Source organism: Homo sapiens, chromosome 2, assembly GCF_000001405.40.
Source record: "Homo sapiens chromosome 2, GRCh38.p14 Primary Assembly".
Classification (NCBI taxonomy): Eukaryota; Metazoa; Chordata; class Mammalia; order Primates; family Hominidae; genus Homo; species Homo sapiens.
This window is the reverse complement of record NC_000002.12, coordinates 73,085,230-73,106,357: the sequence shown is the minus strand read 5'-3', so window position 1 is coordinate 73,106,357 and position 21,128 is coordinate 73,085,230. Positions and strand designations below refer to the sequence as shown.

Below are 21,128 nucleotides of genomic sequence, written 5' to 3'. Positions count from 1 at the left end.
TCTGTGAGGAGGGGACATACACCAGAGACCTGTCGGCCATCATGGAACCCATCTGCCTCCCCAGCCTTCTCTGAATCCCCACATCTGGAGCATGTGGCACCTGTTTTGGTGCATTATTTTCATTGCCTCGTTGGTCTAGTGCATTGCTGATGAAGGCCTATCTGGGTGCTGGCACTGTCTTAAGGTCTGGACTTCCATTTGTCCACAGCAAGCCCTTGAGGTGTAGGTGCTGTTTAACAGCTGAGGAAACCTTGGCACGGAGAGGTAAAGTGACTTTGCTTTTTCTTTCTTTTTTTTGAGGGGGTGGGGTCAGGGTCTGGCTCCATCACTGAGGCTGGCATGCAGTGGTGCCATCATAGCTCACTGCAGCCATGAACTCTCAAGTGATCCTCTTGCCTCAGCTTCCCAAAGTGCTGAGATTATAGGCATGAGTCACTGGACTTGACCACAGCACATGGCACAAAGTCAGGATGTGAACCCAGGCAGTCTGGCTTCCCAGTCTATGCTCTTGGCCACCACACCACACTGCCCACCTCAGTCTTCCCCCATGTCTTCCATGACCCTGCTCTGCACAGGGCCAGGTGCTCAGCTGCTGCCTGCCAAGGCTTCCTCTCTTCTCCTTGACATGGATCTCGGGGGTTAATCTGGTGCTCTGTAGGCATGACCTGCTTCTCCTGGGTGAGTCCTTGGTTTATTGGGATAAGCACATTTGGTCTGCAGCTCTAGCCTTATGTCTGTCCCAGAGGCTGGGGGATGTTGTCTCATACTTTGGGAGGGAGTCACTGCCACCAGATACCTCTCGGGAGTGGAGTGAGGGCTGGGTGTGGTGGCTCATGCCTGTAATCCCAGCACTTTGGGAGGCCGCGTCAGGAGGATCACTGGAGGCCAAGAGTTCAAGAGCAACCTAGGCAACATAGCAAGACTCCATTTCTACAAAAATACAAAAAATTAGCTGGGCATGGTGGTGCACACCAGTAGTCCCAGCTACTCAGGAGGCTGAGGTGGGAGGATCACTTGAGCCCGGGAGTTCAAGGCTGCGATTAGCAATGATTGCCCCACTGCACTCCAGCCTGGGTGACAGAGCAAGATCCTGTCTCAAAAAATAAAAATAAAAAAAGGAGTGGAGTGAGGCCTGAGAAGGTCAGCCTCACTTTCCACCAGGGCACTTTCCACCCTGGGGAGATTTGCTCCTTTCAAGCAGGGCTTGGGGGCATCAGCACATACCAGACTCCGTAATCCTTCCCAAGACGTCACATGCTGGTTTTACTGTGACAGAACACTCCAAGCCATCCTGTTCTTCCTCCTGCAGCAATACAGTCATTTGCTATTTTTTCCCTTCTGTTTCACAACATCCAGGAAGCAATTACTGGACAACCATTGTAACCACTGTGCCTAGGTCAGTGCTGTGGGGGAAACCAGGGAAATAAAGTGGATAGCCCTTTCTCCAGAAGGGCTAAAATATGTTTGAGATAAGCCTAACGCAGCAAGGACAATTCCTCTACAAAGCAGCATATAAAAAGCGTGAGAGAATGAGGGGGTCAGGAGAAGAGGGAGCTCACCAGTTGGAGTGATCAGGGTGGGCTTCTTGGGAGAGGTGAGGCCTTGAATAACAGGTGAGACCTGATTAGAGGCAGGGTGAGTTGGAGGCAGGGAAACTGTGAGTGTGGTGGGACTGGGCCAGGAGAGGGAGTGAGGGGAGCCAAGCTTAGTTCCCTGTGTGCCACTCTCAGCAAAACAGCAGGACTTTCTTTACTTCCTATTTAGTTTTGTTTTGTTTTGTTTTGTTTTTTGAGACAGAGTCTTGCTGTGTTGCCCAGGCTGGAGTGCAATGGTGTGATCTTGGCTCACTACAGCCTCCGCCTCCCAGGTTCAAGTGATTCTCCTGCCTCAGCCTACCGAGCAGCTGGGACTACAGGTGCGTGCCACCACGCCCAGCTAATTTTTGTATTTTTAGTAGAGACCATGTTGGCCAGGCTGGTCTCGAACTCCTGACCTCAAGTGATCTGCCTGCCTCAGCCTCCCAAAGTGCTGGGATTACAGGTGTGAGCCACCACACCTGGCCCCTATTTACTTTTGAGTAGTTCACCTGGTCCAAATTCTAAAGGTACAGAAGGGCACATAATGAAAAAAATTTCCCTTGACCCACCTTAAGTCACCTAGCTCCTCTCTTCAGAGACATCCAACATTACCAGTTCTTGTGTAACCTTCCAAAGGTGTTTTCTGCATTTAAAGGCAAATGCGTTGTGTTTTTTCTTCCCTCCCTCCTTGTTCCCAAATGCAACGTTCTCACCACACAGTTCTGTACTTCCCATGAGCCTGGCAGGGAAGTTATTGTTTGTTTCCCCCTGTTGTGGGGTCTGAACTGAGACCTTGGCAGAGGGGACCATCGCCACTTGGTTTTGTCTTCCTCAACCTGAGTCTCCTGGTCAGGGTGAATATGGGGTTAGGAGCACACTGGGGAGGGGGATGGGTTAAGTGGAATTTCTTTATTTTTCCACCTGCCAGAGATCCCCTGAGAGAGGTCATCTTGCGGGTTCTCTCCTTCCTCCTGGGCAGGGTTGTTGCTTTTTGGTCCTGGGCCACCTCACTTATATGGGGCTGATGATGGCCTGTAAAAGGCCTTTGATAGACAATAAACCCACATCTTTCTGTGTGGTTTGGCCTACTTTTAAGGGTGCCTTCCCAGTATCACCTCATTTCATTCTTCCCTGAGGGCAGACAGGGGGATCACCATTTTTGCGAATATGGAGACTGGGGTCTCAGGAGGTGGAATGACCTGTCCAAGGTCACACAACTCTTTAGTGGCAGCCAGATTTCTGATGTCTAAGCCTGATGCTTTTCTCCCTACACTGTGCTATCAACCCTACATCTTTTCTGTTGCTCTCTGTGGTTTGACTTGTCTCCAGCCATTTTTGCAGCTTTTCCTTGTGCTGGGTGAGCTGACAGTGACAGACCTTTGGAGCCTACAGCATTAGGATGAGGATTAAAAGTGCTTGTGCCCAGGAGGGAGGGAGGCTGGACCTGGCTGGGGTCTGAGGAGGGATGAGTGAGCTGTCCCCACAGAGGCAGGGGGAACTCATGAATGAGGACCTGGGCTCCCTCCAAAGGTTGCTGGTGCCAGGCATGGTGCCAGAGGAGGTGATAAGAATCATCTTCTGGCCTGATAAGAGGCTGTATCCTGTCCTGCAATTATGTCTGGCTTGCAGTTTTACTGTAGATACCAAATCAAAAGATGGGGTAGGCGGTGGATGCGGGGAGACAGCAGGGGTTGGCTTGAGGCCCACACAGCTCCTGTGTGCCAGTGTGTGAGGCAGGCTGCTGTGGTGGGCACTTGGAGAGGAGAGGAGGCATCAGGGTGGAGGAGGCTCTAGGGAAAAGGGTTTTCCAACTGTGTCACCATACTCTGAATATAATAGTTCTAGTTTCACTTTACCTTGTCTTTAACTGCATGATTTTATCACCCTCATTTTACAGAGGTGAAATGGCTGCTTCAAGCCACTTAGTAAGGCAGAGCCAGGACTAGAACCTAGGTCTCCCATCTTCCAGTCCACTGGGGTTCTCACACAAGGCCCTTAAAATCATTGTTTTTCCAACTTGTTTCTGAGACAAAAGCTGAGCCCTGCCAGTTCCATGTCATTTACCTGGCAGGTGTTAGAAGATGTTCTGCATCTCGGGTCCCTTCTCAGGTGGTGAGGGATAAGAGGTCAATAACTGTCCCTGCTGCCAACAGTAGTGAGAGATCAGAGTGGAGTGGCTCTGCCATAGTGCTGCCGCAGGGGGCGAAAAAGGGGTGCTCCCAGGGGCCCCCCTGGCTCTCCTACCTTCCCCATTGTTCCTGTCCTAGTTCAGGCTTAAAAAAAAATTTTTTTAACCTCTGCTCTGGGCTGTTACCTTAGCTGCTGCTGCCTTTTTATAAACCAGAGTGCCAGTTTATTAATTAATGGTGAGAAATAACTGCTAAGGCATTAGGAGTTGCTCAGGTCAGCCTGGCCATGGGAACTACCCTGGGCTGTGACTGCCCCTTGCTGGTCTCCTGCCTCACCTCTCTGCTGTCCCTCCCTCTTCCTGCAGCATAGTGTCAGTCCTGTCCTTGTGTTGTACCCTGTCGTGCATTTCAGGGCCCAGAATACAATTATGGCTCCTTAGTGTGACATTAGGGGTAGTCTCCTTCTCCTGCCTGCACTTCTGCAGTCTGCATATCCTGTCCCTCGCAACTGGAATGTCTCCCTACCCCCTCCTCGCCTCTTTCCCACCCATTGTTCAGAGCCCAATATAAATGCCACATCCCGCACCCTCATCCTGAAATCAAACCCCTCCCCTTGAGCCTTCCCGTGTGCTTCATTTGTGCATTTTTGTGGTGTCAGTCACCATCTTCCGTTAGCTATGTGGCTGTCTTCTCCACCAAGGCATAAGCTCTTCAAAGACACCTCCGTTCTTGTTCCTGGCAAATACTTGGGGAACATTGGAGCAGAGGCCTGGCTGAGGCCTCCTCTGGTTGGGTGGGATCTCGCCGACTCATGCCCTGTGCCTTTAAGGGGTGGTGGGTGTCAGGCTGGTTGTCAGGATGTCAGGATCCCATGCGGGGCTGTCAGCCCCTGTGCGGTGGTGAGCGGGTGGGCTGATGAGTTCACAGGTGTTCACAGGGGTGTTGGTAAGCACAGGGGCTGAGGGAGGAGAGCAGGGGTGGGGCTCAGTCTTAGGACAAGGAGGGAAAGCCTGTGTCCTGGCCCAAGACACGCTCTGACCTCCGCAGGAGTCTAATGTCAATCCACCATCAGTCCCAGGTGGGAGCAGGAGTGTCAGTACACCCTAAATGCTTCAGTATGCCTCTCCAGCCCACTCCAACAGATTTGGGTGCCTTTAGAAAAAACATAACCTTAATGCCATCCTCACACAAAATCAACAATTCCTTAATAATCATCTAATATCCAGCCCACATTCAAGTTGTCTTGATATCTAAAATGCCTCTTCGTAGGTGATTTGTTGAGTTAGGATCCAAATAGGCACCTGGCTGTTATGTCTCCTCATGACATGTCTCCCCTTTGGAAGTTCCCGCCCCTCCGTTTCATGCTATCACCTGGTGAGGAACCAGGCCATTTGTCCTCAAGACTGTCACACATTGTAGCCCTGGCCAGTTGGTTCCTCGTGATGGCCTGCACCCTGATTCTCCACCCCTGGACACTAGGTTCCCTGGCAAGAGTCCTTCCCAGGGGCTGGCCAAGCCTTGCCTCACCTGGGGAGGCCCACCTGCCTGCAGTCCACCCTCAGCGAAGCCCTGATGGGTGGTTAGCCCCCCAGCATTCCAAATCCCCCCCACCCCACCACCAACCTTTCTCCCAGAGGTTTTAATATCCATTGATGATTATCTCTCCAGGTCTGAATTTCTTCTATACCAGCAGGAAGCCCAGCATAAGGACGAGCTTTCTCTCTCACTGTTTGGTCACTGGGGCAGGAATTGCAGGCTGGCGTAGGTTGCAGTGAGCTGAGATTGTGCCACTGCACTCCAGCCTGGGCAACAGAACGAGACTCCGTCTCAAAACAAAAAAAAACAAAAAAACAAAAAAACACAACCAAAAAAAACCTGTTGGGAATGGCAGGAGTGACAATTCTTGGCCATTATTTTTCAGTCTGGGGCCGGGCATGGTGGCTCAGACCTGTAATCCCAGCACTTTGGGAAGCCGAGGCAGATGGATCACTTGAGGTCAGGAGTTCAAGACCAGCCTGGCCAACATGGTGAAACCCCATCTCTACTGGAAATACAAAAATTAGCTGGGTGTGGTAGCACATGCCTTTAATCCCAGCTACTCAGGAGGCTGAGGCATAAGAATTGCTTGAACCTGGAAGGCGGAGATTGCAGTGAGCTGAGATTGTACCACTGCACTCCAGCCTAGATGACAGAGCGAGACTCCATCTCAAAAAAAAAAAAAAAAAACCACAACCAAAAAAACCCGTTATTTTTCAGTTTGGTGATGACTTTCACATTAAATATATGCCCTGCCCATGGTGCTGTCCATGATACCAGTCATTGAAGGCTGCAGGCCTTTTGTGGGCACATGATTTCATCTATACAGTGTCACTTGAAACGGCATATCACTGTCCCGCGGTAGAAATCCGGGGCAGGGAGTATTATGATCAGTGTTTTGTTTTCCTCCCTATCACCTGATTTTTGAGTAGCATGCCTGTCTAGAGGATTCCTCTGGAGCCCCAGAGTCTCCCGTTTGTACTAGCTCTAAGGGAAGCTAGGTGAGGGGAGTGAGGCTGGGAAAGGAGGCCTGGATCAGTATTTCTTCCTCTTCACATTGGTGCCCTGCTTTCGCTTTTAGAAGACTCTCCCACCCAGTATTTTGGGGCAGCTCAATTGTCTTGACTAAGTTAATCTTGACTTCATTTGCCTTGGGGATGGGGCTTGATTCCTACAACAGTCAGCTTTGCAGGCTCCTTGTCCCCAGGGTGGTAGTAGCTGTTCACCAGCTGAGGTAAGGCCTGTCTTTGGAAGAGGTTGGGGCAGTGGCTGCAGCCAGAAGGAAGAAGCTGCAGACCTGCTGGGTTGCAACCATAGCAGGTGAGGCTCAGGTGGGGACCAGCCCAGGGAAACTGGGGACTGTGATGTTGGGGGCATGATCAAAACAAGCTCCAGAGTAGCTTGCTCCCAGCTAGCAGGTGCATGTGGCTGTTTTTGTTTCTCTGGAGTCACCTTTCATCAGCATGCAAGGATTTGAGGGTCAGCCTGAGCACTGTGGCGTGACGCTGGGGAATCTGAGGGCCTTCGGCCAGCTTCTTGCCCTTCACCAGGCCCCCTGTTCCCTTAGCTGGGTGGGAAATGGGAGCAGCACCCATCCTCTGCTTGGAGCTCTCAGCCTGGATGCCATGCAGCGGGCAGGGAGGGGAGGACCTGGCCTTCTGCTGAGTTTGCTCCCTCCCCACTCTAAAGCAGGTTTTCTCAGCCCTTTTGGTGCCATGGACTCCTCAGAATGTCTTTAAATATACAGCATTGCAAAGTACACCAATGGTGTTGAAGTATAGTTCTCAATATAAAAGCCAGCACTTTGGGAGGCCGAGGTGGGCAGATCACCTGAGGTCAGGAGTTTGAAACCAGCCTGACCAACATGGTGAAACCACGTCTCTACTAAAAATACAAAAAATTGCTGGGCATGGCGGCAGGGGCCTGTAAGCCCAGCTACTTGGGAGGCTGAGACAGGAGAATTGCTTGAACTCAGGAGGCAGAGGTTTCAGTGAGCCGAGACTGTGCCATTGCACTCCAGCCTGGACAACAAGAGCAAAACTCTGTCTCAAAAAAAAAAAAAAAGAAAAAAGAAAAAAAAAACAAAAAAGCATTTACTAAAGAAACATAAGTGCTTTATTACTGTATTAAATAATGAGATCTACAGGAGGTCTAATGACTTTACAATTCAAAGTGGTGATGAGTATAAATATTTGTGACATCCGTAACAGCTAAAATGTGATAGGAAAATAATCCGATTTCTCTTGGTGACAAGCGTATAGGTACTACTTCTGTACTACTGTTGCAAAAATTCATAGTGGGAAGACATGCTAAATTTTGTTAGAGATTAGGGGAAATAAAGATGTGATTTTTCCTCCCATCTAACACATACCCCCTGCTCTAGAGAAATAGGGGGGTGACTTTATTCTGGATTCCTTGGTTGGGCAGAGACATGGGGGTTCCTGGATGCGGGGGTGAGTGTGTGTTGTACTTGCAGAGGGAGGCAGCATAGTATAGTGGTCAAGGTCGGGGGCTCTGGAGGCAGGGAGCCTGAGTTCCAGTTCTGGCTCTCCTGCTTACTGTGTGACTGGACCCAGTGCACGTCTCCTTACCTCAGTGCTCACACCTGCTGAATGTGAGAGCCGATGCTCGTGTGCGTTTCCCGTGTGCCGGGCCCTGTTCTGAGCGCTCCACGCATAGGCCATTGAATCCTCATGCAAGTTGAAGATCCCGTATTCCAAATGCTTGGGACGGAAGTGTTTTGGAGTTTGGATTTTGGAATATTTGTATTATCTGGCCAGTTGAGCATCCCTGATATAAAAATCCAAAATGCTCCAGTGACCATTTCTTTTGAGCATCATATTGGTGCTCAGAAAGTTTTGGAGCATTTCAGATTTCAGATTTTTGGGTTGGGTAACTCAGCCTGTTGTCTTGTGAGGAGAGGGTAGGCTGCTACCATCATTTTATAGATAGGTGAGGAAACAGGCATAGATATGAGGTCACACAGCCAGCACGTGGTGGGCTGGGGCTTAACCAGGCAGCCTGGCACCGAAGTCCATGCTCTTAGCCACTTCCAGAGTCTGCCTCCCATATCAACCTCACAGGGTTGTTAAGAGGATTGAGTAAGATGTAATTCCATGTGTTCAGTGCTTAGTATTGTGCCAGCACACAGTAGGTGCTAACTGAGTGATTGTAGTTGGTAATGGGGATAAGATCAGTGGCCTTTTTGGGCCAAGAGATGGGCTGGAGTTGGGTCAACAGTGACTCCTCTGTTCACAAAGCTGGATGCGTCCCACATCTGGTTGGGCATCTTCTCTCCCAGGGAAGTTAGTGAGATTCTTAGTTCAGTTGGGGGCTGAGGAAGTGTCTCACAATTAAAGAAGGTCTCATTCTGGAAACCTCCCTTTAAGCCTGACATCTCTGGCTCCTGCCCTCCAAAGGCTCCTGTTTGGCAGGTGGGGTGGGGATCCTCTTTGCTCTTTGGGAGCTCCAGCTCTCACAAGTAAGACCCATGGGTTTGTAGCAGTAGAAAACCATAGAGCAGTTGTGAAGGGGGCCCACGTTAGTCACAGAATAATTTGTTGGCTCATTGAGCAAATATTTGAGTGTCCACTGTTAAGTGTTGGGGGTACAGAGATGAACAGAATAATGCACTTGACTGTTGAGCAAGGGAAGACAGATGCTAACAAGCCTTGAACATGTGCAGCATTTTGTCATGTTGATGTGCACATGGGGACACATGCGTGTGCACACACCAGTGCCAGCTTGTGATCAGTATGATGATGAAAGAGGGTGAGGGGGGCCGGGCGTGGTGGCTCACGCCTGTAATCTCAGCACTTTGGGAGGCCGAGGCGGGTGGATCACCTGAGGTCGGGAATTCGAGACCAGTGTGACCAACATGGAAAAACCCCGTCTCTACTAAAAATACAAAATTAGCCAGGCGGGGTGGCACATGCCTGTAATCCCAGCTACTCAGGTGGCTGAGGCAGGAGAATCGCTTGGACCTGGGGGTGGAGGTTGCAGTGAGCTGAGATCGAGCCATTGCGCTCCAGCCTGGGCAACAAGAGTGAAACCCCATCTCAAAATAAAATAAAAACATAAAGAGGGTGAGGGGTGGTTGCAGTTGGGGTACTCAGGGAAGACTGAGGAGGCTTGGATGAACAGAGCCCTAACTCGAATGAGTGAGTGAACCATGGCCAGAAGGTCTGGCCTGTGTCTCAGGCAGAGAGAGCAGCACGTATAGTGGCCTTGAGGTGGGAACACACCTGATGGGTTCAGGGACACCAGGAGAATCACTGTGGCCCAAGTGGAATGAGAGATGCAGAGGAGCCAAGCCCCAAAAGGTGCTGAGTGAGGGAGAGCGGGGCGTGCTGAGCTCCCACTTCACGTCTTTGCTGGGTGGAATGTGGACGTCAGGTAAACAGGGAAATCTAATGTCCATCAGGGAGGTGGTGGTGGATGGGACTATGGGGTGACAGTGGTGAGAGAGTGAGTTCTGGAGATAATTGCAGGTAGAGTTCACAGAGTTTGAAGTTTAGATGTAGGGAGTGAGGGAAAAGAAGAGACAAATCTGGTTTCTAGGTTGTTTGGAGTCTGGAATAAATGATGAGTGGGGGCTCAGAAAGGGGCATTGTTATTTGGGTCTGAATTTTAGACTGATAAGAATTGGGGGTGAGTTAGATGTGTCCAGGCCTGCTGCTGCAGCTACCCATAGCCCCCACACCCCTGTCTGTCTCTGACTGGAGTTCCCTGGCACTTGCATGGGTATGTGTGACAGCTGCCCCAGGTCAGCTCTCCCCTGAGTGCAGGACCTCCCCAGTTATGCTGGATGGCATTGGTTAGCCCAGCTTCATTTTCTGAGAACTAGGTGGAGAGCTGGTTATGAGGGCCTGGGGACCCCACCAGCAGGAGTAACTAGGGCTGTAATCTTGGTGACAGGTGAGCAGACTTGCTCCTCTCCACCCCTTCCATCCACTTTGTCCTCTGCTTTGGTGGTGGGTGGGGGGAGGCTGAGGGCCGAGACCCAAGTCCACACGGGGCCTGGTGAACTTTGTCAGGCAGAGAGAGCTTGGGAGAGGTGTTCTAGCTTAGCAGGGGGCCCTGTAAGAGCTTCCTTGTGGTCCCAGCCTCTCAGGAATTCTGGACCCTGATGGCTTCTGAGGGAGGCTGGGCTGCTCTCGGACAAGGTTTTGAGGGGCTAAGGACAGGACAAAACCCTGAGGTCCCCTCAGTGGCATCTCAGGGCTCTGTGCTCTGGGATTGTGCCAACCTTTTGAAAGGGGGTCTGGTCTTCAGGGTCTGTGATGTGTAGCCAGGCCTTTACTGGCCTCTGTCTTCTCAGGGTACTCAGGGCAGGAGTATATGCATTCTGCTTTTCTGAAAGTTGCTAAACCTTAAAGGTTAAGGACATGGGCTTGGAGGCTGGCATTTTCATGTTCAAGTTCCAGCTCCATTACTTACTAGCTGTGTGGCCCTGGGCAACTTACAAACCATCTCCACAACTTAGTTTCCTCATCTGTAAAATGGGCCTCCCATCTCCTGGGCTGGTTGCATGGATAATAAAAGAGCTGCAGAGCCAGGCACACAGTGAGCCCTCAGCAGGGTCAGCTCTGGCCATTCTCTAGCCCCCTCATGTGCAGCCCTCTGCTCAGGTGTGGCCTCTGGGCCAGCAGCAGCATGGGTAGCTGGGAGCTCTCTCAGGTCCACCTACACTTTGGGTATCAGAATACACATTTTAACAAGATCCAGTGATTTTTTTTTGCACTTTGCAGTTTGAGAAGCACTGATGTGTGTCTTCTGAAGAGCAGCATCAGTAGCTGCGTGTGCCTCTTCAGGTGCAAGGAATTTTCTCTTACTGTGCCTTTTCTTACTGTGTCCATCATGTCCTGGCTGCAGAGGCACCTGGGACAAGTCCCAGATAATCACCATCTTCATCAAAACCCTTGTGTCCTGAGCATGTGCTGGCTGGGCCTTGGAGAGTTCAAGTGCCCCAGATGGTGCCCCTGACAGAGAGATGAAGTCAAGGTGGGTGCTTTGCAGGTGGAGCAGCTTAGTTCCTGCAGTGAAGGATGTGCCAGTTAGTGATATATGTGCTGCAGGCAGCCCGGACTCTGAGCACCAGGTGGGTGTCAGGGGAATTGTATGGGGGCAGAATCACTGTCCTTCCTCCTGGTTTGGTGAGAGTGTTGTTTCTCCAGTGGTTTCTGATCTAGGAGGCCTAATTCATCTTAACACTCTTAATTTCTAGAAAGTGCTTAATGCTGCCTGCTCCTCCCCAGTGTGTTCCTTTGGTAACTTACCCCCTCCTGGGGGAGGGATGAGTATTTCTAGGGTCAGTCCTCTCAGAAGCAGCGTGTCCTCGGGACTTGGGAAGGCAAGCCTTACTGGGCAGGAGAAAGACACAGGTTTCTCCTGGGTACCGATTGAGTGTCCTTAAGGACAAGCCCAGGTGGAGAGCCCAGGTGGCCGCTGACCTTAAAGTGATGTAAAGCGTTAGGGACCATCCTTGTGGTTCCCACATGGGGTCTGGGTGAATTCACTCACCTGTGGGGCCCCACCCCCAAACCCACTGAGAAATATAGATAACCAGGCCGGGACCTTCTAGTTCAGTAAGTCTGGGTGGCGTCTTGGGTGGATTTATATCTGTATATAAATCCTGCACCGATGCATAGCAGGTTTGGGTGCTACAGCTGTGGAGCTGTGAAAATGAGAGCTGTCTTGTGAGCCATTGTCTAGATGAATGTTGGGGCCTTGGTCACACCCTGATTGATTTTGGCCATGTCTCTGCCCTGGATGAAAGTGACAGGTCAGGCCTCAGCTTGGGCTTTGGAGTTCCTAAGCCCAGTGCCCCAGTCAGCTAGGCCTGGTGAAGGGCACAGAGAGGGAGAAAAAACCTTGATCAGGTAGGGAGGAAGGAACAGTAGCAGAATCTCCAAAACTGGAGACCAGGGCCTATCTCTTGCACAGCCAGACTTGGGAAGTTGAGGTTGGATTTTTTTTTTTTTTTTTTTTTTTTTGAGACAAAGTCTCACTCTGTTGCCCAGGCTGGAGTGCAGTGATATAATCTTGGCTCACTGCAACTTCCGCTTCCCAGGTTCAAGTGATTCTCATGCCTCAGCTTCCCGAGCAGCTCAGATTACAAACGTGTGCCACCACACCCAGCTAATTATTGTATTTTTAGTAGACACGGGGTTTCGCCATGTTGGCCAGGCAGGTCTCAAACTCCTGGCCTCAAGTGATCTGCCCGCCTTGGCCTCCCAAAGTGCTGGGATTGCAGGCATGAGCCACCATGCGCGTCCGAGGTTGAATATTTATTAAAGGATCTGGCACGTTCCCTTGAAGGCTAGGCAGAGCGATCGGCGTCAGGGATTCAAGAGCAGGAGTCCTAAGAGCTCACGGTCGTGGGAGAGAGTGAGAGGATAAGCTGGTTTTGCCAACCAGGCTTGGCGTGCCTTAGCCTCCCAACAGCCAAGAGGATGGTTGTCCCCACCTGAGGGCCAAGGAAGCGGAGGCTGAGGGAGGTGACCTGGTCAGTGGGGGACCCAGCACTCACCACCATGCCCTGCTGTCAGGCGCATCCAGATGAGAGCTGAGAGAGGGCCCTGCAGGGTTGTAACAGCTCCAGACTGTGCATGCATGATTTCTTTACTTTGGAGCTGTGTGCCCCAGGGGATACTCAGTCAATATCCACAAGAAACACAGTCCAGCAAGGGAGACCTTGGGTGCCCAGGACATGACAACACCAGGGGGTCCTGGGGCACGGTGCTGCCAGATCTGGCTGTAGAGTGAGTTTGGTTCAGAGTGTGTATGCCTGGTCAGAAAGAGGAGGGACTGGGCCAGGCCAGCAGGATGGTGGCAGCTGAGGGAGCTTCCCAGAGGAGTGGGACTTGAACTAGGTCATAGGACCCTGCTGTCATATTCCCCGTGGGGGCTTCAGTCTCTAGGGATGAGGTGCTCAGAGCCCATTTGCTCTGCTGCGTGTGGGGCTCTGTGAAAAGAAAGCCTCCATTTGTTTTCATTGCGGATTCCTCAGCCCCCCTCGACAGTGTTCATAGTTTTCCATTCTCCAGTGGACCTCCATGGTGCCCGACAGGTCTGTGGGGCTGTCTGGTCCAGGCACAGGGAAGTAGCACCTCTAGGGAGGGGGAGGATGTGGCCATCTCAGCTCATGTAGGCCATACTTCTGGGAGAAGGTCTGCTCTGGTTGAGTCCCTGGGGTGCCCAGGGTGGCCAAGGTGCCAGGCAGTATCCCATTCAGTCCTGCCCTTGACTGGGTTGCAGAGGGAGGTGGGGCTGGAAGGGAGGTGGACGAGTGATGGCAGCTGGGGTCCAGAGGTAGGTCCTGGCCATTCTCCATTTCACTGTGCTCTGGATGGGAGAGCCTAAAAAATATTCAGGGAAGCTTTTTCTTTTTCCTTCCGTGCTTCCTTGAAAAACAAGTCCAGGGAGAAACCCAAATTCCCTGTGGGGGAGGGCTGGGCAGAACAGGAGAAGGGGAAGTGACCTTATAGGGGAGAGAGGCCCAAAAGGTCCTTGTGGCAAAGGACCTGAAACTCGGCCTCCCGCCTTCCTCTGAGGGCTGGGAGGCAGAGGAGCACGGCCCATTTTGTGGCTCAGGAAGCTGAGATGAGATAGGAGCAAGAGCTTTCCCTTGTCTCTTTTTCCTATTACCACAGTAATATATGCTCCTTATAAAACATTCAAATAGGACAAAAATAGACAATGTAGGAAGTGCTAGTTCCCTGCAATCTCACCACAGGGCCCCGGTCCCCTCAGGTAATTGCATTACCGCTGTGGTGTGTGCAGTGTGAGTAGCTGGGGCTGAGGGCCCCTGACCTGTCTGCCCCAGCAAAGGCTGGCTGTGCTTGCTGATCCTAGTTACTCAGGGCTTGGGCGGTTTGGGGCTGGAGTCCATACCCTTCTCTTTTGCCCTACCTCCCAGGACTTTCCTGTGCTAGATAGGGCCTAGCCCAGATTTAGGGAAAGTGACTAGGGCTTGGCCTCTAAATAGGTAAAGGGTCAGGCCCACGGTGGTCACTGGGCTGAGAACGTAGAGGTGTGAGGCTGTTGATGCTGCTGGCTGGTCTTTCTGTCAAACTTCCTCTCCTGCCCCACAGACACCCTCACATACATCCTCCAGTCTGTCTGTCTCAATTAGCCTCTCCTCCCCTCACTTCTGCCCGTGCCTTATGAGAGAGGCACCCGCTCGGGCATTTTCTCTGTCCGCCCTGCCTGTGGCACCATCTGTTCCTACCCGGCCTTCTCAGGGGATTGTCTCTCAGGTTTGGGAGGGAAAACCAAAGTCTAGGCTCAGGCCGCTCAGGCTGCGGAGTAGGTCTCCACGGAGGGGACGGGCCATAGCCCACCAGGATTTCGTCATGATGGGCTCTTCTATAGGGATGTAGAAGAGTCAGAGGTGCCCCAGGAAGCCTTTTTAAAAAAACTTCAACATTAAAAAATAATCAAAATACTACCACCACTACCACCAAGCTTTTGCTGTGACTTAATTCTGGATCTTTGGATGTATAGGGACTTTTCATACAAAGGCTCCCCACACCCCACTCTGTGTCCACCAGAAGCTCAGGGAGCTGGCATTGTTGGGGGCAGAGCTCAGGCGGGAGGTGGATCCTGCATCACTGACTGCGGCTTGGGTAGCTCTGTGTGCGTGTGTGTGTGTGTGTATGTGTGTGTGTGCTGTGCAGTCACCAAGGGACTTTGAGCCCTTTAGTGACCAGCCTGACCACTACCACCGGGCTTTATTCCACCTTCATGCTCGATTGGCTGGGTCTGGAATTCCAGGCTAGTGGAAGGCTTTTCCCTCAGAAATGTGAAGACATTCCTTCATGTGGTGCCCAGTGTTGCTAAGGAAGACTCCAGTGCTGTTCGAATCCTTTCATGCCTGGTGTTCTAAGCCTCATAGTCATATCTGTTGGCATGTGTCTGTCTTAGTTCATTGCGCTGCATACTTGTAGGACTGTTCTAGCATTCATGTTCTTCAGTTCAGAAAAACATTCTTGTATGATTTCCTTCATAGTTTCTTCCTTTTTGTGTTCCCTGCTCTCTTTTTTTTAGTTAATAAAGTCTATTTTTCAGAGCAGTTTTAAGTTTACAGAAAAACGAGTGAAAAGTATAGAGAGTTCCCATCTACTCCACCCACGCCCCCACCGCCATTTCTTCTGTTAACATCTTGCATTAGTGTGGCATGTTTGTTGTATTTGAGAGCCAATATCAACACGTCATTGTTAACTAGAGTCTATACATTATGTTAGGGTTCACTTGCTGTTTTGTGCATTCTGTGGGTGTATAACAATGCATGTCCACCATTACGGTAGCATGCAGGATAGTTTTTCTCTCCTGAGAAGTCCCTGTGCTCTGCCTATTCATCGCTCTGTCCTCTCTTCAATCCCCCAGCAACCACTGATCTTTTCACTGTCTCCATAGTTTTGCCTTTTGCAGAATGTCAAATAGTTTTGTCGTGCAAGCATGAAGCCTTTTCAGATTGTCTTCTTTCACTTATGTATGTAAGATCCATCCGTGTCTGTTCATGGCTTGATAGCCTATTTATTTTTATCATTAAGTAGTATTCCATTGTCTGGATGTACCACAGTTTGCTTATCTTTTCACCTACTGGAGGACACCTTGGCAGCTTCCAAGTTTTGGCAATCATGAACAGAGCTGCTATAAACATTTGTGTGCAGGGTGTTTCTTTGGACATAAGTCTTTACCTCAGTAGGCAAAGTACCAAGAAGTGTGATTGCTCCTTGTGTGATCGGAGTTTGCTTAGTTCTCTAAGAAACTGCCAACCCCTGCATAAGAACATCTCTCCCCAGTAGGGCGGGCCCCAGCCACCCTGTGTGGTGGCCATGTGTGTTGGGGGCTGTCTCTGTGTCTCTCTGGGCACAGTGGGTGTGCACCGGGAAGAACTTAAGCTTTGGAGGGCTGGACACCTGGCTCTGAGTCTCCACGGATGGGTTCCTTTACCACTGAGCCTCACCCTCCTGATCTGTACAATGGGGTAGTACCTCTTACCTCATATGCTTTTTGGGAGGTATGTGCGGGAGTGAGGTAAGAACCCTCATGCTGGTCGTAATGCACCATAGATGCTCAACAGATATGAGCGCTCTTCGTCTTTCCTGGGTCTCTTTCTGCCATTCTTGTCTGTTCCTGCATCTTGTAGAGGTATTCCTGACAGGGCTTGGGGTGAGTCAGTGTGTGAGTGAGGTGTGTGTGTGTGTGTGTGTGTGTGTGTGTGTGTATACATACATGAGTGTATGCACTAGCATTCCTGTGTTCCTGGCCCTGGGCCTCTGGGTGAGCTGTTCTTTCCTGGGCTCACGGTGGCTGGGAGCAGAGCTTTGGCTGGGACTGGCCAGAGGAGATGATGTCAACAGGGAGAAATGTGGGTAGGTCTGTCTGTGCTGGGGCCTGGAGATGGGAGGGCTCTCCCAGGCCCAGCCTCACCCCTCTGGGCCTCAGAGTTTCAGATGTAGGGGAGATGGGGCAGAGGAGAGGTCTCTGAGCACCAGGAGAAGGTCCTGGGGTGGGAGGAGGCATGGTGTGGTAACCGCCGCCCTACCTGGTGGCACCCGAGGAGCTTCCCCACTCAGGATGTGGTTTTCTCCATCATGGAAATGTTTTGGATAGTTTCTCAGCTGCATCTGAAGCCTGGAAGCCCAGGCCGATGGGTCAGAGCAGGAGCCTTTGGGGAGAGGCTATCAGTGGCTCTCAGAGCAAGGAGGGGTCTGGGCAGTGCCTGGTACCGGGCGGGAGCCAGGCTCCCTGGGCCCGTGACTGAGTTCTGCCTGCTCCCCTCTTCTCACAGGTGGTACAAGCTGCACTCCAAGCCAGGCAAGAAGGAGAAGGAACGCGGCGAGATTGAAGTCACCATCCAGTTCACGCGCAACAACCTGAGCGCCAGTATGTTTGACCTGTCCATGAAGGACAAGCCAAGGTCTCCCTTCAGCAAGATCAGGGACAAGATGAAGGGCAAGAAGAAGTATGATCTGGAATCTGCCTCTGCCATCCTCCCAAGCAGCGCCATAGAGGATCCTGACCTGGGCAGCCTGGGCAAGATGGGCAAAGCCAAAGGCTTCTTCCTCCGCAACAAGCTGCGCAAGTCGTCCCTGACCCAGTCCAACACCTCGCTGGGCTCGGACAGCACCCTGTCCTCAGCCAGCGGGAGCTTGGCCTACCAGGGACCTGGCGCCGAACTCCTCACCCGCTCACCAAGCCGTAGCAGCTGGCTGTCCACTGAAGGGGGTGAGCAAGCACAGGGCCGCCGCCCTGGGGAGGGGGGCACTGGCTCTCCCCTTGGGTGGTGATGAAGGCCTGGGGCCAGGAAATGGGGCCTCTCTTCCTGCGAGCTAACTCTGTGTGTTTCCCCTGCAGGCAGGGACTCTGCACAGTCCCCCAAGCTGTTCACCCATAAGAGGACCTACAGCGATGAGGCCAACCAGATGCGAGTGGCTCCTCCTCGGGCCCTTCTGGACCTTCAGGGCCACCTGGATGCTGCCTCCCGCTCTTCGCTCTGTGTCAATGGGAGCCACATTTACAATGAGGAGCCCCAGGGCCCTGTGCGGCACCGCAGCTCCATCTCGGGCTCGCTTCCATCCTCTGGCTCCTTGCAAGCTGTCTCTTCCCGGTTCTCCGAGGAGGGGCCTCGTTCCACAGATGACACCTGGCCCAGAGGCAGTCGTAGCAACAGCAGCTCAGAGGCAGTGCTTGGACAGGAGGAGCTGAGTGCTCAGGCTAAAGTCCTGGCCCCTGGGGCCAGCCACCCTGGAGAGGAGGAGGGGGCCCGGCTACCAGAGGGCAAGCCAGTCCAGGTTGCCACACCCATAGTGGCCTCCTCTGAGGCTGTGGCAGAGAAGGAGGGAGCCCGGAAGGAGGAACGCAAGCCCCGGATGGGTCTCTTCCACCACCACCACCAAGGCCTAAGTCGGAGCGAGTTGGGTCGCCGAAGCTCTCTGGGGGAAAAGGGGGGTCCCATCCTGGGGGCCTCCCCACATCACTCATCCAGTGGGGAGGAAAAGGCCAAGAGTAGCTGGTTTGGCTTGAGAGAAGCCAAGGACCCGACTCAGAAACCCAGGTAAGTCGTTGGCAAGACCAACTTTGCTCCTTGGGGAGGATGCTGGGGTGTGTGCTGCCTGGACCCTGGGGCAGGGAGGAAGGAGTAGATATGGACCTCAGGCAGGCTGCTGGGGCTCTGGCTTTGCATGGTTTAGTGGGGTGTCTCCCTAAGCCAAGGTTCGTTCTGTGCTCACGGACACAGGTGAGTTACGAGGGCATAGTGCTCTGAGAGTCCTATGGATTGAGGGGTCCGACTTCTCAGCCCTAGGCCTTGCTGCATGAGTTGGCATGCCCACCCCCTGAGCTGGAGGGAAGCAGGAAAGTCCATTTGTGTGAATTCTTTGCTTCCTGACCTCCACCTCTTGCCCTCTGGCCTCAAGGTAAGGAAGCCTTGGTAGAGAGATGAGGACTGGAGACCGCACTCTCAGACTTCCCTTCCCCTCTCTGGAGCTAGAGGACTTCTCCCCAGCTGTCTCTGTGATCACTTCCCTCTGGGAGACGGGAGTCAAATAACTGAAGCCACCACTCCTTCCCCCGTCCATTCACCTGCCAGTTGCTTCCCCAGGCAAGAGGCTGTGGGCAGCTCCCATGAAATCTGTAACCCATCTCTGTCCTTGGAGACCCTGGGAGCTCTGGCCCTCTCTGATGTCTCTTGGTCTTGAGGTATGGCACCGTGGGAAGTGCTGGTGGCAGCTGTTTTGTTTTGAATATACTGAGTCCCCCATTTCAGGCCCTGGGCAGAGACCCTGATGCCTACCATTTGCTTCCTCCTAATTCTGAGCCAGGAGAGGCTGCAGAATTGTATAGCAGGGTCCAGAGAGGGGCTCCAGGTACAGGTCACAGAAGTGTGTGTCGCACCTTCCCAAGGGCCTGGGGCCAGCCCTCATAGGCAGCATCTGTGGCAGCCCTGGCCAGTGTGGTGAGAGCACTGTTTCTCTCAACAAGCCTGCCCTTCCCGCTCCATGGCTGCTTGGACAGGTTTAGAGGACAAGCACAGTAACAAGGGGGCAAAAGATAGGGCAGAGGAAGGACCCTAAACCTGTTGCCCAGAGGGGAGAGGAATCTTGTAGTCCTGGCTTTTTGTTTCCCTGTGGCACTCTGAGTCTGTTGAGAGGAGTGGAGAGAGACATGCAGGCCTTTCTAGGTTTGGGCCATGGTCAGCTGACAATCCCTGTTAGACCCTCATAGATAGGGGTATGGGGGGGTGGATCAGTTTCAGGGGCATGCCACCCCTTGCCTCCCTTGCTTGGTATGGCAGCTCCTGTCCCTACTGCCCCGCCCCTACTCACCAGAGCTCAGGTGAGCTGCTGGCCATCTGCGGCCTAGGGGAAGATTGGGAAGAAGGGGACAGGCCTTTCCCAGATGCCAGGCTGAGCCTGGTGTCCCTGTGACAGCCAGCCAGAGGTATTTGGAGGTGGTAGGGTAGAGGGAGGTAGCAGGAGATCTGGACAGGGCATTTGCTGGGAGGAGCTGAGGGCCTGGATTGAAAGGGGCACAGAGCACAGGCTCAGTGTGGTTGTGCGTACGGTGTCTCTGGGCCTTTTCTGGGGCAAGGTGAATGCTGGGGCCATTTGTAGGTGAGTCCTGCCCAGGCTTTGGGCTTGGACTCCCACAGGCTGTGAGTCTGTGGGGTTGTCACTGGCCTGGGGCACTTACAGTCTCCATCCTCTTTCTCCTGCTTCCCCATATCTCCTAATGGCCTCTTGGAATCTGGAGGATTTGGGTCACTGATGGCCATAAGGAAGCTGAGGTTTCTGTCCTGCTGTCACTTGAATTCTGAGCCTTGTCTTTAGCAGGATGGAGGGCACTCAGCATCCCTCCCAAGATGGGGCCTATTTGCAGGTGGCGGCTGCAGGGCCAGGCTCTGTGGCCGTGCATGCAGATGGGGTGGGAGGGGCTGTGCTTTGGGTAAGATGGCCTGGCCTGGACAGATGTGACACCTGGCCTTTGAGCTCAATCAGCAGCATCCTGGCCTTGTGTGCCTTGCAGGGAGGGGAAGGCTGGCCTGGAAGAAAGGACTGTTGGCGCTTCCCCAGAGGGCTTGCTTAGGGCCTCTGAGGAGAGAAGGAGAGGTGGGCTGCCTCATGGCAGGAAGCTGTGGGTTAGACCCAGAACTGGAGTGACTGAATGTAGCTGCAGGATCTCCAGCTGGGGCCTGGGGAGCCTGTCCCCAGGTCCAGAGAATGGGGGCCTCTGCCTTGGGGCTACCATTGCAGATTGTGGGATGTTCCTCACTAGGAAGAACAGCGGCGCCCTCTAGTGCTCCCATGTGGCACTGATGCCCCACAGAGAGGCCCGGGGCTGAACGTGTTGAGTATGGTATCCAGAGAAAGGCTGCTGCCGTGGGGAAGGAACAAATGAGGCTATACAGGGCTGAGAAGAGGGTCCTGCTGTTCCTCTGATGTGGCCTTTGTCTGCTGGGGGCCATGGCAGTCACACTGGGCCCCTACCAGTGTGTGCTGGAGCAGGGAGTAGGTAGTTGAGACCAAGCTTGTCTTGGCCACAGGACTTAGCCTCATTCCCCTGCCCTGTTATGAGCCATTCACACTGAGCTGCAGCACAGGCTACTTCACGTGTGTTTGAGGACAGGCAAGACCACGCATTTTAAACCCGCCAGGGCCAAAGTGGATTGTCTTTGTGTCTATCCCGGGTCATCCTTGTGTTCCCTTGTTCCCCGCCCCCCACACTAACCATAGGACTCTATGCACAGAAGGGGATCAAATGTTGATTACAAAAACTTTTAAAGTTGGGAATAAGTGTGGTACAACATAGAGATGAGTGTATCATGATGGTGGCCTCTGGCAGTCTCTGCAGTGCCTCCCTGCACCAGGTGTGGTAG

The 21,128-nt window shown here is 52.6% G+C and overlaps 1 protein-coding gene across 2 annotated transcripts in view, besides 1 other annotated feature; it reads left to right on the top strand.

Annotated features, from left to right (window-relative positions):
* RAB11FIP5 (RAB11 family interacting protein 5) overlaps window positions 1-21,128 on the top strand; it is a 39,567-nt gene that overhangs the window by 6,591 nt on the left and 11,848 nt on the right. For both annotated transcript variants that reach the window (NM_015470.3, NM_001371272.1), the window contains exons 2-3: window positions 17,043-17,479; window positions 17,609-18,308. In NM_015470.3, coding sequence (NP_056285.1) covers window positions 17,043-17,479; window positions 17,609-18,308 — 1,137 coding nt within the window. The remainder of the gene's footprint in view (window positions 1-17,042; window positions 17,480-17,608; window positions 18,309-21,128) is intronic.
* Window positions 20,415-20,464: an enhancer, noted in NCBI's record as "active region_16025". NCBI's record gives its function as "activates an Ori minimal core promoter by ATAC-STARR-seq in GM12878 lymphoblastoid cells {active_cell/tissue: GM12878}" and the evidence as "EXISTENCE:reporter gene assay evidence [ECO:0000049][PMID:35858748]".